The sequence below is a fragment of the Homo sapiens genome, chromosome 11 (assembly GCF_000001405.40).
Source record: "Homo sapiens chromosome 11, GRCh38.p14 Primary Assembly".
NCBI classification, from domain to species: Eukaryota; Metazoa; Chordata; class Mammalia; order Primates; family Hominidae; genus Homo; species Homo sapiens.
Genome location: NC_000011.10, coordinates 131,684,991 through 131,701,996, shown reverse-complemented (window position 1 = coordinate 131,701,996; position 17,006 = coordinate 131,684,991). Strand labels below are relative to the sequence as shown.

General features: G+C 49.7%; 1 protein-coding gene across 22 annotated transcripts in view, besides 2 other annotated features; it reads right to left on the bottom strand.

Moving 5' to 3' along the window:
* NTM (neurotrimin) overlaps positions 1 to 17,006 on the bottom strand; it is a 966,208-nt gene that overhangs the window by 634,826 nt on the left and 314,376 nt on the right. The window lies entirely within an intron of this gene.
* Positions 10,805 to 11,328: an enhancer, noted in NCBI's record as "H3K27ac-H3K4me1 hESC enhancer chr11:131560563-131561086 (GRCh37/hg19 assembly coordinates)". NCBI's record gives its function as "activates a minimal SCP1, AML or CMV promoter by ChIP-STARR-seq in naive H9 embryonic stem cells {active_cell/tissue: H9 hESC(naive)}" and the evidence as "EXISTENCE:reporter gene assay evidence [ECO:0000049][PMID:30033119]".
* Positions 13,731 to 13,940: a silencer, noted in NCBI's record as "silent region_4083". NCBI's record gives its function as "represses an Ori minimal core promoter by ATAC-STARR-seq in GM12878 lymphoblastoid cells {active_cell/tissue: GM12878}" and the evidence as "EXISTENCE:reporter gene assay evidence [ECO:0000049][PMID:35858748]".

The window sequence follows — 17,006 nt, the reverse complement described above, 5'->3', positions numbered from 1 at the left end:
CCATGGTTGTGTGACACACACAGTTGCATAGGGCCTCAAGCTCAGAAGGGCCCATGTTTGGTTTAATGCTCTGCTATTGCCATCATGAAATACTTGATACTTTTAAAACCAGGGTGGTACATTTTCATTTTGCACTGGGGTCCAACCATGACACATCTACCCCTCCACCCCTATTTCCACCCCTCCCTTGGCTTTCCTGGCCTTCCATCTGATGGAGTAGAGACAGCCTTGCATTTGTCTAGGCCCTCATGCCCTAGGACCCCATGGACACACCATTAAATGAAGAAATAACAAGGCCCTCAGCATTAAGGAGCCCACTACTTGCTGTAATGAGGATGGTAAGGTTGAGGAATATACTTTTCCAGAAATATGAGTATTGGACATTGGTGAAGAATAAACACATAAGCCATGATTTATAAAGCTAGAGAGCTAGGGATGGCAGAGGCAGAATCCTTGCCCGTGCCTCTGGATCCTGTAGCTCCTGGCAAAACTGACAAATGCATTGAGTGGCTCCCTTCTTTTTGCCCATCTACCATGCCCAGTTGCTTCTAGGGCAGCCAATTATTTCCTTCTTAGTAGTAGATGAGGGAATTCAAGAGCAGTGATTGGAGGAGAAAAGGAATAACATATACTGTCCTCATAGGCCAGGCATGGTTCTAGGCGATTTACATACAGTTTCTCATTTATTCCTGGCAATGGCCCTGTGGGTAGGTGGCATTATCTTTATTTTATAGATAAAGAAACCAGGCTCAGTGGATTCACCAACTTGCCCAAGTCATGCATATAGGTGGTGGTAAAAAGTTGACATAATCCCAGGTCTGTATGTCACCAATTGTTTTGTTCTTTAGCAAAACCCTTGTTGCTTTTTGTTCTTTTAGTATATTATACTGTCCACCAACTGGAAACTGAGAAAGACAAAGAAATATTTTATTACTTTTTCCCGAGCACTGTCCTAAACATATTACATGCTTTAACTTGTTTAATTATCACAAGAAAACTAGGGTTCAGAAACTTTAAGAAACTTCTGTAAGGACTCACAGCTATTAAATGGCAGAACCAGGATTCACATCTAAGCTGTCTGACTCCAGAGACAAAACCTGCAGCCACTACATGATGCTACTTCTCCTAAGAAAAGTTGAAGGGAAAACTTTTGGTGGTAAATTATTGGTTGCGTATGGAAAAGATCAAGGACAATTTCTAGGTTTCATGTTTGAGCACCTGGTTAAAAGATGGTGTCAATAAAATGTGAAGTACAGAAGGTTGAGTTGCAGGTTTCAGGGGAATAAGGGTTACATCAGTTCTGCACACACTGAGGATGAGGTGCCTGGAAGGCATCCAACAGGATGCTATACAATACTAGCACCTTCCTGAAAGGGTTGCTGTAAGGATTAAATGGATTAATATGTGCCTGGCACACAGTAAGCACAGTGTAAGTCTTTGCCATTATTGTAACCCAATAAACAAGTAGGTCATCATGAAGCTAGAAGATCATAACAACCCAGTAAGCAACTGGGTCAAGTGGAGCTAAGAAGACAGGTCTTGGCGAGAGATATAGAATGAACAGTTGTGAACTTATAGGTAGCTAAAACTATGGGAGAAAGGGGGATCTCTTAGAGACAAAGTGTGGAATGAGGAGAAGAGAGTGTTAGGATGCAAACATTATGACAGGCATACAATTGATTTTGAGGTATTGAATAAAGGCAGGTAATTAGAAAGTTTCTGAAGTTTCAACAAAAGGAAGGATTTTCCTTACATTTAGAATAAGGCATTGAATCTCTGGCCAAGAAAGACAATTTTTTGGCTGGTAACCAATATAATCAGAAATAACAAATGAAGTAAAATTAGACAACTCCTAAAGAAAGGAACCCAAAATGCTCTGCTTGTTACCTGAACATAACATGAGTTTGTGCCCAACATCACTATACATGCATAATTTCCCAGCTTCACAATTAGCTTCCAGCTAAATGTGTTATCCTGGCTTCTACATGGTCAAGAGATCTTCAAGAGCAGTGGTCTAGTTCAAGATACTGAATACACACACACACACACACACACACACACACACACACACACACACACACACACACCTGCTGCTTTGGCTAGTGATATGGTTTGACTGTGTCCCCACCCAAATCTATCTTGAATTGTAGTTCCTATAATCTCCAGGTGTAGTGGGAGGGACCTGGTGGGAGGTAATTTAATCATGGGGGTGGTTACCTTCATGCTGTTCTCATGAGATCTGATGGTTTTATAAGGGACTTTTCCCCCCTTTTGCTTGGCACTTCTCTTTCCTGCCTTCATGTGAAGGAGGACGCGTTTGCTTCCCCTTCCTCCATGATTGTAAGCTGCCTGAGGCCTCCCCAGCCCTGCTGAACTGTGAGTCAACTAAACCTCTTTCCTTTATAAGTTACCCAGTCTTGGGTTTGTCTTTATTAGCAGCATGAGAATGAACTAATACAGCTAGTGATCCTGGAGGAGTTCTCCTGATTTCTCAGGCTCTATATGAATGTCCTACAGAAAGCCTTTTGTGCCATTCATCTGTATTTGATGCTTCTCCTTTGCAACCCACTCCTGCCTCTATCATAGCACTTACTCACTGAATTTAAGCTTTCTACTTTTTGTCTTCTCTGTTAGATTATAAGCTTATATCAGAGATAGTTTTCTTTACAGTCCTAGGACCTGGCACAGTGCCTGATTATTGTAGGTGGACAAAAACTCAATTTTTAATTTATTCCTGGAAAGTACGTTTCTAATTTCAACATCTTCTGTATAGTTCAGCCCCACTTCTCTTCCTAGACTGAGCTCAGAGAATCTGTGCAGATTCAGTGCTCTAGATCCCTCCTTGTCCAATGTGGGAGTTTAATTACTTCTTTAGTTAACGTTGTTAAGGTATAATTTACAAGCATTAAGATGAACACACATTAGGTGAACAAGTCAATGAATTTTGACAATCACATATTCCTGCATAGTCGCCACCATAATCAAGATACAATGAATTAATTCCACCACCTCTCATGTTTCCCTAATTCCCTAATTCTCCATTCATGGCTCCAAAGACCACACTTCCCAATATCAAGGTAAGTTAGAAAGATCAGTAGCAAGAGAGAGATTTGAAAAAAGCAGTCAAGGTACGCTTTATGGAAAGGACACATAGGCTTTCTCTCAGATATCCCTCAGCAAATCATATCTGGGCTACAATGTAAGAAATCAGTAGAATTTCATGAGAAGAATACTCCTAACAAGGAAGCCTGGCACTGGGCTGAGAGCAAGGACGGAGGGCGCTGGTTCTGACTTTGATGCGAACTCGCCATGTACACCTTGGAAAATCCTTTTCCTTTGTGAACTCCTTATCCTTCTCCTCCTTGGCTTTCTCCTAGTCCTCTTATAAAATTATTAGCTAAATCTTTAGGACTTTTTTTTTCCAATGGGAAATGTCTGGTTTTTAAAGGAAATCACAATTCCCTCATCTGTAAAATGGGAATAATTACAGCATCTGCCTCATCGTGTTGTTATGCGGGTGAAATGAGGCATTCATGGAAAGTGGTTAGAGCAGAGCACGCATGTAGCACAAGGGCTCAGTCAATGTCAATCATGATGATGATGATGTCGCTAGTGATGATTATGATTGCAAGAGAACAAGGGAATTCTCCAAGGACCCAGGACACAAAGGAGTCATGAAATAGAGTAGTGAGTGTGTGAGCACTGGGGTAGGGTGGGGGGTACACCTTCTGTTCCTGTGCCCTAGGTGGCCAGGGTATAGCAGGAACCTAAGGCAAGGAACTGAATGACACTTTCACTCTGGAAGGTTGTGGAATGTTCCATAAGGTTGGAACCTTAGAGAGCCTCTAAAAGTTGAATTAGAAAAAAGATCCCAATATTAACATGGGGGCAATAAGAACTTTGTCTGTCTTGACCTGAGCTCTGGATGAAGCAGCTGTGTCTCTGCAGGGAATGTGTAATTGCAGGTCTGTGCTGCAGGTGAATTTGGGATTCAGATATATACTTCCTATGTGGATTCACTCCTGGAGCCCCTGACAGAGGCAAATATAGAACTATTTTTGGAGGAACATGCTCTTTCCCAGGCCACACACGAGTTCTAGTTCCCACGTTTTCCTCCTGAAGTTGTTCTCATAGTCCAAATTACCAAGCACAGGAGAAAACAACTGATCATGAGGAAAAATCACAAACCACACCTTCTTAGGCTCCTGTGGATGGCAAGTAATTAAATAACGCAAGAGGGACTATGCAGGAATTCATGTGGAAATACGTAAGAATCAAATACATAAATTAAAGGACATTGAAAAGTACATTCCTAGTATATAGAGTTTTGAAAATAAAAAATCAAGTCAGGAAAATTTCAAAATCTCAAGGAATGGTTAAACATTGTCAGAAAAAATAAAATTACTGAATTGGAAGATAAATCCCGGAAAGTCACCCAGAAATACAGAAATGGGGACTATGGAATAGCAGTTAAGAGTGAGAAGACCCAACGCATGCCTAACAGGAGCTTCAGAAAGAGGGCTGAGAAGTGATACTTGAGGAGATAATGGAGGGCCAACAATTTTCCAAGGTTACCAAAGGTCCTGGGCATGGAAAATAATCAGCCAATATGTAAAACAATCAGACAGTACTCTGGATGAAGCTGCAACGGTAGATCAAGTAAGGCTTTCAAAATTGCCCCACACTTATGGCACAGGCCGCAGCCCTCAGTGGTCTCCAAGAGGCTCTGAGAGACCCATCCGACTGGCTGCAGACTGATGTGTCCACATTTTCCAGTTCATTCTAAAATTGTAATGACTGTAATCTCTGTGCTTATTATATTCACATCCATCTTACCTTGTGTCCTTATCTTGAAAGGAAATCTGAGAAATTAATAAGCAAAGAGCCTGACAATTACATGGCAATTCCACCGTGCCCCCAGCCGGCTTCGTCTAAAAACTGCCACTCTCTCCTTGCTGTGAACAGATCATCTCTGTCGCTTTTCTCCATATACTCAGGGCTATTCCACTAACGAAACGGGTTCTTGTCTTCAGTGCCAGGGGCAAGGTGACATTCCTTAAGATTTATTATTATTGTTTTCCATAACCCGAGGAATGTCAGTCCTTTAAAAGCCTCTGCACCATGTTGATTTTCTAAGTTAACTCTGACTTAGCATAGATTTATTGGCAAGGGTTGTGGTTTGCCTTGTGTGTGTGTGTGTGTGTGTGTGTGCATGCGTGGGTGTGCCTGTTTGAGACACAAAGGTGAAACAAGAGATAAAACCAACATTTATTTGGCTTTAACATGGGCCATTGCCTCAGCTAATTGCTATTATTTATGCCAATTCTTTCCCTTCTCATAGCAGTCACATTAGGAGAGCAGTATCATCCACATTTATCACATGAGAATCAGGCTCAGAGAGGTTAGGTACAGTGGAGGGTCACTTAGCTACAGGGTGTACGAAAGAAAAGGACTAATAGAGAAAGAATGACTCTCTGGAAAGAGTCCAGAATCCATATGGAAAATGGAAACACAATGTTGTGTGGTCTGATCCAGGCTTGTGGGCAGAAGGGAAGGCCCCTACAACTTGATATGTCTTCCTCTTTGGAGCCTAGTAAGTAATGGTGCTGGGTGCTGGTGTAACTCATGTCTCCCAGACAACCTTAACTCAAGCAACTTGAGACTCCCATACAAAAGCATATCATCAAGCCTTGTTTTCCCGGACTTGCACTCAACTCTCCTTCCTGCTGGCCTCCCCGGGTGCGTCCTGTGCTGTGTCATCCTTCCACAGTCATCACGTGACAATGAACACCCAACATCACCCCACACCCCATACTACCAAGGACATTTGTTCTCTCCGAGGCTGTTAGCTCTTTTTGTCCCAAGTACAATTCGCCCTCCTTCCCCTGGGGGCCGGCTCCCTTTGGCTGTGGGTTCTTTCATGTCTGTCACATCAACAACACTTTCTGTTGAGAGGCTAGTTGTTTGCAATGATAATTAGACATGCACCTTTCTGCACCACACGTCCAGTTTTTCTCATGCACTCCAGCCCTGTCCTTTGAGCGGCACACATACTGCAGCTGCTGTCACTCTTGGGACAGGATCAGAGTCCAGAGCGCAGGAGTGAAGGGACATAGACCTCTGATATATACTAGCTGTGTTTCCTTGGGAAAGTTTGCCTCTCTGAGCCTCTTTCCTCAATGGAATATTGGGATGATAATCCTACCCATGGGGTTGCCTTAAGGATTACGTGGGAAACGTCCATGTAAGACCTCTGTTACAATAAATGCTCAATCTTTCTGGTTCTCCATCCGACCCGCTGCTCCATCCCCTAGTTCTCAAGGTGGGCATGCCGGTGAAGTTGCTCCTAAACATGCTCTATTCACAGATTTGACACTTGTGGAGGAGAAAAACACCCCACTTCAAAGGACAAAGGAGACTGACAAGGTTTGTTGGGTACAGAGGAAAGAGTCTGAGCTATTGGATCAAAACCCGACAACCTCATTTCCTGGAAAATCATGTAACTTCTCTGAATTGCATTTATAAAACCTGAATATGTGCCTCATCGGATCACTCTAAAAATTCAATGAGACAATCTGTATGAAAACATGTGCCGGCATGAAGGTTTGCGTAAAGTCATTCGTTCAGGAAACCTTTCTGAGCTAGCCCAGTCCAGTCTTTGACATCATCTCAGGGGGAGCTGCTAGGTTTAGGACAAGCACAATAAAACCAACACCAAGCCAGAGGTGTGCAGGTGGCATCTGGGTGCCTGGCCAAGACACTAAGGCCACACTCTGAATTCTTATACAAACCCAGTGCCTATCTCGTCACAGAGATTTTTCTTTTCAGGGCGGGGGGGTGGGTACTAAAATCCTCAGCCTGTCCGTGGCCCAGAGCATTTTCAGGTGAGAATGTCCTGGACAACGCATCGTGCGTTTCCCCTGGCAGACAGCTCTCTCCTGCACCCTCCCGGCGGCGGCGGCGCTCCTCCCAGCCCGTCCAACACTGCCCTCTGGTGGCAGCAGGTCGCAATTTCATGGCTCTCCGACTGCCCCTCTGCTGGGGCTCCTCCCTTCCCAGGCCCCATTCCGGCTGCGAGGGCGCTGAGCGAGTCCCAAGGGCAGGCAGTTTCTCTGCGAGTTCCAGATTCCTACATTGTCAGCTGATCTTTCCTCTGCATTCACGCCCCACCCAATCCTGAGTGATCATCAGGCTCACCTGATCCTGTTTAAAAGCCTTTATGCCCTTCCGCAAAGCTCATGGTCTTGGCATAAAACCAAATCTGCTCCTTCAGCGAGAGCTCCTCTGTCCACACGTCCAGTCTCGGCTCTGGAGCCGTCCTTCGGAGGTACTGCCAGCCCGTGGTTCCCAGGCCCAGCTCCCTGTCCTGCCTGAGCTCATTCACTGCACTTCCCGCTTCAGCCTTGCACGCCCTTTCCCGCCACCGAGCAGGTGGCTTAAGCTCTTCAGAACCCAGAGGGATGTCACTTTCTCCATCAGGACTTCTCCGGCAACTCCCCCTACTCTGAGCTGGGTGCAGACCTAAGCCCTGCTTCCCACTCTGTCACAGGCCTTTCCCACCAGACTCAGCTTCTAGACCCAGCAATGGCATTTTGTTTGCATTTTAAAAAATCACCATAGCCCTAAGACAGAATACAGTGCTGCCCGTGGAGACTGAATAAATGTTGAATGAAAATGGTCTGTAGCTTGAGAACTAGAGGAAGAGTAGATGCTGCAAGGGTAACAAGTCATCACTATTACTTACATTCTCACTAATAATAATGGTCCTTATTGAACAATTCTCCTATGCGAGGCACCATTAACTGCTTTAAATGCATGTTCTCATTGAATAGGCCTCTATATGATGTAGTGAGCATCTGCAAATACTGTCTCATTGAGCCTTCACAGCAACCTTGGCAGGGAGGAGAACAAGTGTTAGATCCATGTGACAGAGGAGAAAACGAAAGTCGGGGAGAGGTGGGTGACCAAGCATCCAAGAATAGTGTGAGAGCCCAGATTTTGCAATCTCTCTCCTAGTGACACAAGTCTGCTATACTTCATGTATACTCTTCCACCTCTTCCTGAAAGAGACAGGTCTCCAGAGACGAAGTCAAACACAGGAATGTGCTTCCACCTGCAGACCCAGGCTGTAAAAGCAGCTTCTCCTCTCTCGCTTCCAGTTTCTAATCAATTATGGAGGAAATGACAGTGGAGAGGGGAGGAGAGAGACACTCCATAGTGACTGCAGCTCATTGAAAAGATACCCGAGGCTTTGTCTCTGCAGCCACAATGCCCAGCTGGGAACACCAGGGCATATATACATAGGATTTGGGTGGATGACACTGAGACAAAGGAAAAATGACAAACCAAGTGAATTAAGTGAAGGTGAAATAAACGGTGCTCAGCAACAGATGGGGCTGGTGCTGGGTAATTTTCTCCTGTCACCTCCCCTCAGGTAATAGATAATCCTGCAGCTGCTGGATTTCCTGGGAAGTCAGGCACGGGGCCTGAGTCTCCTTCGTGTTTGGAAGCCATGCCCCCCATTCCTTAACCTGTCTTGATGATAAAAATCTTAAGAGCCAAAACTTTTTGCAAGACTTATCCTGGCGATTTAACTCCGTCCCGGCTAAGGTTGCTATCCGTCAGGCTGTCATGGTGACAGGCAGATTTGTAAATGTTCTGGCTCCAGTGTCAGGTTGAAGGTGACATTTTTCAGCTGGAGATTTTTTTCCTCATCCCTCACAGAGACAGAACAACTAAGAAAGAGGAAAGCAATCCCCTGAATCAGCCTCTGCCCCACTCGCAGTCAGCCTGCCCAGGGTGTTGACTCCTGAGCTCTGGGATTGTTTGTGAATTTCCCCAGCCCACCTCTGCCCTGACCCCCATGCCCAGAACACAGTGATTCCCTGCAAGGCCAAACTCCCAGTCCCAACCCTCCCCACCCATCTGCAGGCCTGCCCAACTTGGCCTTCTAATGACTTGTCTTGGCTGATGGTCCCTGCTCTGCCATTACTACTATAAATACTTACATAGATTAATTAACCACAATGTAAAACCCAGAATCCCAGCTAAATTCATTTAATGACCTGCCGTGCGATTTCTTGGCTGAAGCATCTGACACTAACCCTGAATGCTCAGTGACATTCACCCCTTTGATTCTTTCCTGGAATCACTAGGCAATCGAGTCTCCTTTTTAACCCCTTTTTTGCCTCTGACTTTACTTTCAGGGTCTATAACCCTGAAGGAGTCACACAGAGGTTTGGGTGATTTGGTTTCTTGGGTTCTTGCCTGATTCTCTGCATTTGTGTGACATCCTTTATGAAGCTAGGGAAGGCACTTTCATCCCTGATGCCACATCAAAGCTTAGGTAAGAACAGTTTTATATGGCTGCATTTCTTGGCCCAGATGCCAAAATGGAAACGCTCTCTCTTTCCTCTGTCTACTCTCATTCTGTCTCCTCTCTATCCCCTCTCTTTCTCTCTCAGTTTCTTCAAAAAGGACCTAGCATTATTCAGAGATCTGCCTGGGAGATGGTCTAGGCTTGTGTCAGCATCACCCAGAGATCTGCATGGGAGGTAGGCTAGCCCTGTGTCAGCATCACTCAGAGATCTGCATGGGAGATAGGCTAGCCCTGTGTCAGCATCACTCAGAGATGTGCATGGGAGATAGGCTAGCCCTGTGTCAGCATCACCCAGAGATCTGCATGGGAGATAGGCTAGCCCTGTGTCAGCATCACTCAGAGATCTGCATGGGAGATGGACTAGCCCTGTGCCAGCATCACCCAGAGGTCTGCATGGGAGGTGGCACCTCTTGTAGGCAGGGTCTAGGGGCATCAGAGTCAATCCTGGAGGGAAGGTTTCAAGCCCTAGAGTGGAAGGACAAGAGAAAGACCGAGGTTGTAAAGAACCGCGAAGTGTCAGCCTGTGACTCCCTGCCCGTTTCCTCTGTTTTTCCTCCCTTCCCTTTGAGACTTTTCACTCGTGCTTACCTAGGGGCCATGTGGGATGCCTTGATGACAGTTCCCACGCCTGCCCGCAGTCCCATCCAGGAGGGGGTCCAGCTCCCTCTTTTTTCTCGATCAGATGCCATAGTGTTCAACTTCTTCATTTAGAAAAGCTAACGATATTTACCTCGCCCAGCAGTCTTGTTTTGTTCGTGTTATGAGTAATGAGTAACATGACACACGAAAGACGCCTGGCACCTGGCGGAGCTGTGTGGATGCGCCGCCTCCCTCCCAGCCCCGGGACCGCTGCGCCCAGCCCAGCCCCGCTCCGCTCAGCCCCGCGCCGCGGAAAGAACGCGCCAGCGCCACCTGGCGGGGCCGAGCGGGAGCGCGGGGTGGCTGCGCCCTGGGGTTGCCATCTTTACCCGCTGTGGGGTTTATATTCAGCAGAAGACAACATGGAAGAGAAGGAGGAGAGAAAACAGTGAAGGACATGGAAGGGAAGTCGGGGGGGGGCTTTCAGGGAAGACAAGGGGATGGAGTCCAGGCGACGACATCGCCTTGGCGGGGGGCCAGGAGGGAGCAAGGTGGTGTGGGGTCCACGCCTGCCCACGCCCCGCGGCTCTCGGCTCGGCCAGCCTGGACCCGGAGCTCCTCGTGACGTGGACTCCCTGGGCGCACGGGGCGGAAAAGGAGCGGCCGCCGAAGAAGCTGCCTTATCATCCGGGCAGCGCCTTGGGCCCAGACCCACAGGGGCGAACTCCCCGCGGCCCCCGGCCGCCAACAGAGGGGCGCTTGCTGGGCCTGAGGATCTGAACTACGTTCTGCGAAGGTCAAGGACTGAAGGAACCGCCCTGGCACTGCGGGGGGACGGGCCGTAGGCTGTGGGTGCAGGGCCGGGGGTGGCCTGGGCCCCTGGTGCGCCCTCCGGGGGCTGCAGGCTTTGCTTAGAGCACAGCCCAGGGCTCCCCGGCTCCAGAGTGGGGCAGGCGCCGGATCCTCTGCGGTCTGAGACTCGCCCACCCAGACCGCACACCCTTCCAGAAAGGGCAAGGCCCCGCTGAGTGATCAAAGCCCCTTGCTCCCCACCCGCTCCAAGGGCCCTCGCTGAGGATTTCCCCTTCTCCTCCCTGGGTTTCGATCAAGGCAGCTTCCACTTCCACCCGCCCCTTGACATTTCTCTCCGCTCTGATGGGGAAGTGACGGGGTGGACAGGACAAACAGCTTCCTTCTGAGCCCCGTCTTCACCCGCCGTGTGCCTCAGGCTGGCTCTGCTCCATGATCCCAAACTGTAAGGAGGAATCCTCCCATTTTGTTCCCCAAGGATGTGGGCCACGGCCTACGCTTAGCACCCACGTCCTGCCTTCCTTGGACCCCAGGCTGCTTCTCACTGCTTCCAGCCATTCTCCCGCACTCAGGCCCCGCGCCCCGCGCTCTGACACCTTGCAGATGGGAAGTGTGTTCTGTATTTCCGTACAAGGCAGCGTCCACGGTGTATGTTTCTGAGGGCAGAGAACGCTTTCCCTTCCGGGTAAGCGTGGAGTCCCCTGGGTGCTTGGGTTCTGCCGTGAGCCCATGCTGAGCCCGTGCAGCAAGGTTCGCGCTGAGCCCGTGCAGCATCTCCACAGTCCCCGGGAACTGACTAGGTGCGCTGGGCTGGCTTGGGCCGGGTTTCTGCCATCTGATCTCGGGGTGTTTGTGTGTCATGCCCACCTCTTCTGGTACTGGGGTTCACATCTCTACCTGCTACATGCATCCCCCTGGGAGAATGCCTGCCCCTCGATTTCTGGAATTCTGACAGTTTTGTTCATATTCCTAATGAAATATCTGTGAATGTGTGAGTTGCACCAAGGTGTTCAGGGAAGCCTCGCTGCGTGTCATACTTTTCTCTCCTCTCATCTGGATTCCAGGCCTTCTCTGCCATCTTGGTGTGCTCCTCTACCCAGTTCCACAAATAGGTGAGCTCAGGGACAGACGTGTGAGGGGAGAGACGTGCTGATCTCATCATGAGTGATCATGAGATCTCATCATGAATTCAGCAACATGGGTCTCTGCCTGTGAGACCACCAGGTTCATGTCCTCTCTGCTGTCATTGCCAACACAACAGCATAGGGTTATCCCATAGAATTTCATCATATGTGGACGAGGGAGCCAACTGTGTAAATGAGAATCCCTCTACCCAGGTAATAGGTATACGACCAGTAATAACTGGTATTGCTGAGTCTCTCTGGAAGGCTGGCAGGTGGCAAGAGTGGGAGGAGGTGGCCTGGGGTGCCAGCTGCCAGCAGGAAGGGTGAGAACAGCTTTGACCCCACCTTCTGAGGAGTGCAGTCCAAGCCTGCGGTATGGGAGGGGAGATGGGACAGAGAGGACCCAAGATCCATGGCACCCTTGCTGGCCTTCCGTTTTCCGTCCTCTCAGAAGGCTGCTGAGGCCCAGCCAGCCCCTCCTAAAGGACTTCACCTCCACCTGTCCTCAGAACATCTGTGAAGGACTGAGTGCTTCCAGGGCAATGGGGCCAAAAGCAACATCTGTGGGGAAACTGAATTCCAGGGGATGAATCTCATGAGTCTGGCCTAGGGACTGAGATAGTGTTGAATTAAACCCCTGAAAGTTGTTTTTCTAAAGAGCTTTTGTCCTGTGCTGGGATCAGAAGAGACACAGATTCACTCTGCCCTGGCTCTGACCCTTCTCCTTTCTCAGTCCTTCCAGCCCCTCCTGAGCCAAGCCTTTTTACCATGGCTAGCTTCTGAGGGGCTGGGCAATACTGGGTGGGGAGGCAAGGCAGGGCCAGAGCAGCCTTCCCTGCCGGGCCACCTGTGTTCCTGCCTGGCTCTGGTCCTGGGCCCTCCCCGCTGCCTCATGCTGAGCCACAGGCAGTGCACTGGCTCCCAGGAGAAGGGGCTCGGTCCTCACAAGTAAAAAGCAGAGCTCCGGGTAGGGAGACATCCTTGGAGAGTGTTCCTTCCTTCCTCGGGGGCTGCGGGGATTTTCCTTAACAAACATCCAATTTATTGGTAGCTCTCGTTTTCACTGAAGGCATGCACGTGTAAAATTAAAACTAACTAAATGCATTTTTAAAAACCAACTAGCTAACTAAGAGTGTGTCCTGCAGAACGCACCAGGGCTCTAACAATCCTAAGGAAACACCTCTACAATGTGTGGGGCTTCACAGGCCTCTGAGCAGGGGTGACACCATCTCAGACGGGGATGGGACACCTGCCCATTGGTCTGCAAGATGGTAATATTTTCTGAGGGTCCTAGTTTCTGTTTCAAAATGGTGCTCCAGACAGCAGGACTGACGGTTTGGGTGTCTGATCTCTAGGAGCAGCTGGTGTCTTCCACACACGCATCACCCCCACCCCTGAAGAAGCAGCATCAAGCTCAACCCACAGCATGAACTGGGCCCTGCTGCCTGGTAGATGCTGGACAGTCACTGGGGGTGTGAAGCCGACAGGCCAGGCGCTGCCGCAGGGCAAGAGCAACCCGGGGCACAGAGGGGGCAGCCAGAGAAGAGCCTGCCCAGCGTGTGCCTGGGAGCAGCAGGCGGAGGGAGGAGCCGCGACTCTTAACGCCTTTGGGGTTTTGGAGCTAAACTCACTGACTTCTCCAAAAGAGAAATGACATGTGCCATCCCATTCTGATGTGTTTGGAAGGCATTTTTCATGGACTTTCAAAGTAACCATTAACAAGGTTTTTCTGAGTTAGTGGCGTGTGCTATCCAAGCTCCTTCCAACCCTGCTTTGAAACCCGCTTTCAGAAACCCAGGAGGGGCACGGAAGGAGGACGGGCAAGCTGCTTTCCCCCCTGTCTGGAGTCCGCTGAGAGGGGCCCTCCCCCGCCCCGGGAGCCTGTTCTCCAGCTCGGTGGAGGCAGCCTCGCGGCTCGGGGGGCGCGGGTGCCCTCCGGTGGCCGTTCTGGGGAGCTGCAGGCGCGCCCCCGCGGCATCTGCGGCTCCTCATCCAGATGTGAGAACTGCCTGGCAGCGCGCGTCGCACCCCTCCGGGGTTTATTAGCCTGCTGCAGTGTCAGTGCAATAATAACTCCTGGGAGGCTATCACACCACTATTTCCATTCAGAGGAGGGCTATTCCATCAACGACTCCAGAGGCCTGCGTGGTAAATGAGTTTTCTTTTAAAAATACGTCCACTGATTGCTTTGCTAGGACACATTCGGCACCAAGGGGATGTGAGTGTGGGGCTGGAGGATACGTGGGGTGGGAGCGGGGTGGAAACCATCCAAAGATCTACAGCAGAGGCCAGGGAGGAGCAGCGGGACTTCACAGCCCTTCCGCCACCAGACCCAGGGGCCCCCTCGCCTGTGGCCGCCTGTCCCTCTCCCAGTGGCACTCCTGTGGAATGGTTTTGTTCTTTGAGGAGCACAAACCTTGGACATTCATATTTCGGTGCGTCCCTTGCAGCATCCCCCACTCCCACCCGAGGCACTTGGGCGGCACTAATTCAAGTAACTTGTGGCTGCCCCACTCGGCAGCCACCCCCGGGGGCGAAGGTGAGGTGGACAGGGAAGACAGGCAAGGCGGGACGCCGGCCCCACGCTGACGCCCATGAAGGCCCCTAGCCTGGGGCCAGGCCGGTGATGGTCTGAGGAGCAGAGGGCTCTGCCGGGACCCTGGAAGGCCCAGGCCACAGCGGGTCGCAAACCTTACAGCCCTCATTAGAGTCACCCAGCACTGATGTCCCGTGTCCCTGCCCGAAGCCGCAATTGGAAGGGGCAGGCATCCCTCTGGGTAGCGAGATCACATTCAAGCAACTGGGGTGGGAGGGGCGCTGGGAGGGTGCAAATGGCTGTCAACCAGCTGACACCACGCGTGACGGTGTTGTCACGTTTCATGCAGGTACAATTTTCCTTCTCCCCTGGAACATGGGGTTAGTGAAATCATTTGCTACTTTCTAACAGCAGTGGGAAGCATTGCATGACGTGGAGGGGCCCTGGGACTGAGCCCTGACCTGCCCCTGAGTCCTGACCCGCAAGTGAGGTGAGTGTTTCCCAGCTCAGTCCCTGCTGTCTCTGAGTCCAGCAGTTCAGGTTGTCCCGAACTGGGGCAGAACGTGGCCCTGCGGCCTGGGCTCCGCTGCCCCCACACCCTCCCACCAGGGCGCCGCTTCACTCCAGTGTGCCCTGGCAGGTCAAGTCTGGGTTATGATTGCCTCTAATTAGCATTTCCAGCAGATGGAACATTCTCCAACCTCCAGCCCACAGCTAAGTGCTTCTTAGAAAAGGCCCGAAATTATTTTCTACCTTTGAAAACATCAAAGGAAATCAAAGGAAATGACCCCATTCCGATCTGTGCCTCTCGGCCAGCCTCGTTATGGCCGTATTCAGGTGGGACTGAGCCATGAGGGGCACATAGAGGAGTTTCTGAACCAGATGCGGTTGACCCTTGAACAACATGATTTGAACTGCACGGATCCACTTATACGTGGATCCACATAAAGTAAAAGTTACACCAAGAGTGCCTGCACTTCCTGCCTCCTCCTCTTCTGCCTCCGCCACCCTTGAGACAGCAGGACCGATTCTCCTTCCTCCTCCTCCTCTTCCTCCTCAGCCTACTCATGGTGAACATGGCGAGGATGAAGACCTTTATGATGGTCCACTTCCATTTGATTAATAGTAAATACATTTTCCCTTCCTTACTATTTTCTTAATACCATTTTCTTTCCTCTAGCTTACTTTATTGTGAGATTATGGTATATAACACATAACATGCAAAATCCATGTTAATTGACAGTTCATGTTCTCAGCAAGGCTTCTGGGCAACAGTAAATTATTAGGACTTAAATTTTTGAGAAGTCAAAAGTTATACATGAATTTTCAACTAAGCAAGGGGTCGGCACCCCCAACCACCGCATTATTTGAGGGTCAACTGTAGTTCCTGACAGGATGGTGAGCAAGTTCCCAGGCCCAGCCTGCTCTGAGAGAGGCCTCCTGGGAGACCGTGGTCTGTGGCCTGTGGCCTGTAGCTCTCTGGTGGGGACTGGGGAGGGGACCCTCATCAGCCCCTGTCTGTTTAGCCCCTTATGTGTTCCTCCTCCCACTCCTTTGACATGGGAAGATCCTGGGAGGCAGGGCCAACTCCAGACTTCTTTGTAAGCATCCTGAGCCCAGGATAGCACTTCTTATGTAGGACAAGGCTGTGGGATGTCAGAGCTGGAAAAACCCTCTAGTTACCATGACTTGATTCTAAAAACTTATATATTGAGTGTCTTCTTTATGCCGATATTCTAGACACTATGGGTGAAAAAGTGAACAAAACAATGTCCCTGCTCGTGTGGAACTTCTATTTTTGTGGAGGTAGATTGACACTAAACAAATAAACAAGTGAATGCTACTATGTCACATTGAAATCCTTAAGCAAAATGATTTTTTTAAAAAAAGGTAAGGAGAGAGTGTGCTGTGGCTCTGTGTCTACTGAAATAGGGCGATTGGCGGGCATTTCTGATAAGAAGTGAAGGAGCTATTCACTTGCTACGAGGGGGCGGAGCACTGCCAGCAGAAAAGTAGAAAGCACAAAGGCCCTGAGGCAGGAATGTGCTTGGCGTACAGGGGACCAGCTGAAGATGGAGGCCAATGTGTTTGCAGCAGAGTAAATAGAGGGTCAGAAACAGACGGGATCAGAGACAAACTGCCATGACCCCACATTGCCATTCAGTTCTGGGGAAGTCTGAGTGCTGTCAGCCTGCCTGCCCGACTCTCCATGAGCCCCCAGCTGCTTCCCATGGATGCCCGACTCTCCATGAGCCCCCAGCTGCTTCCCATGGATGCTGGCTGGGGAGCCTCATCTGGCTTGAGGAGTGCATCAGGAAGGACTGACTGGGGTTGGGCAGTGCTAGCTGCCCCCCAAGCTGATTGTTCTTGTCAAGGGCCCAACTGCTGGGCTTCTGCAAGGATCTCAAAGGGCCACCATTAATCCCTCTTCCCAGGGGCTTTGTAACAATTACACATGACACCTATGGAAGCTATTGTTTTAAAAATTCACTCCAACTTAGAATTTCTAGAAAGCTCATTCTTGGGTTGAGCCTTCCACCTAGATGGTCCTATCCCAGCCCTGAGCAGCTCGGAGTGG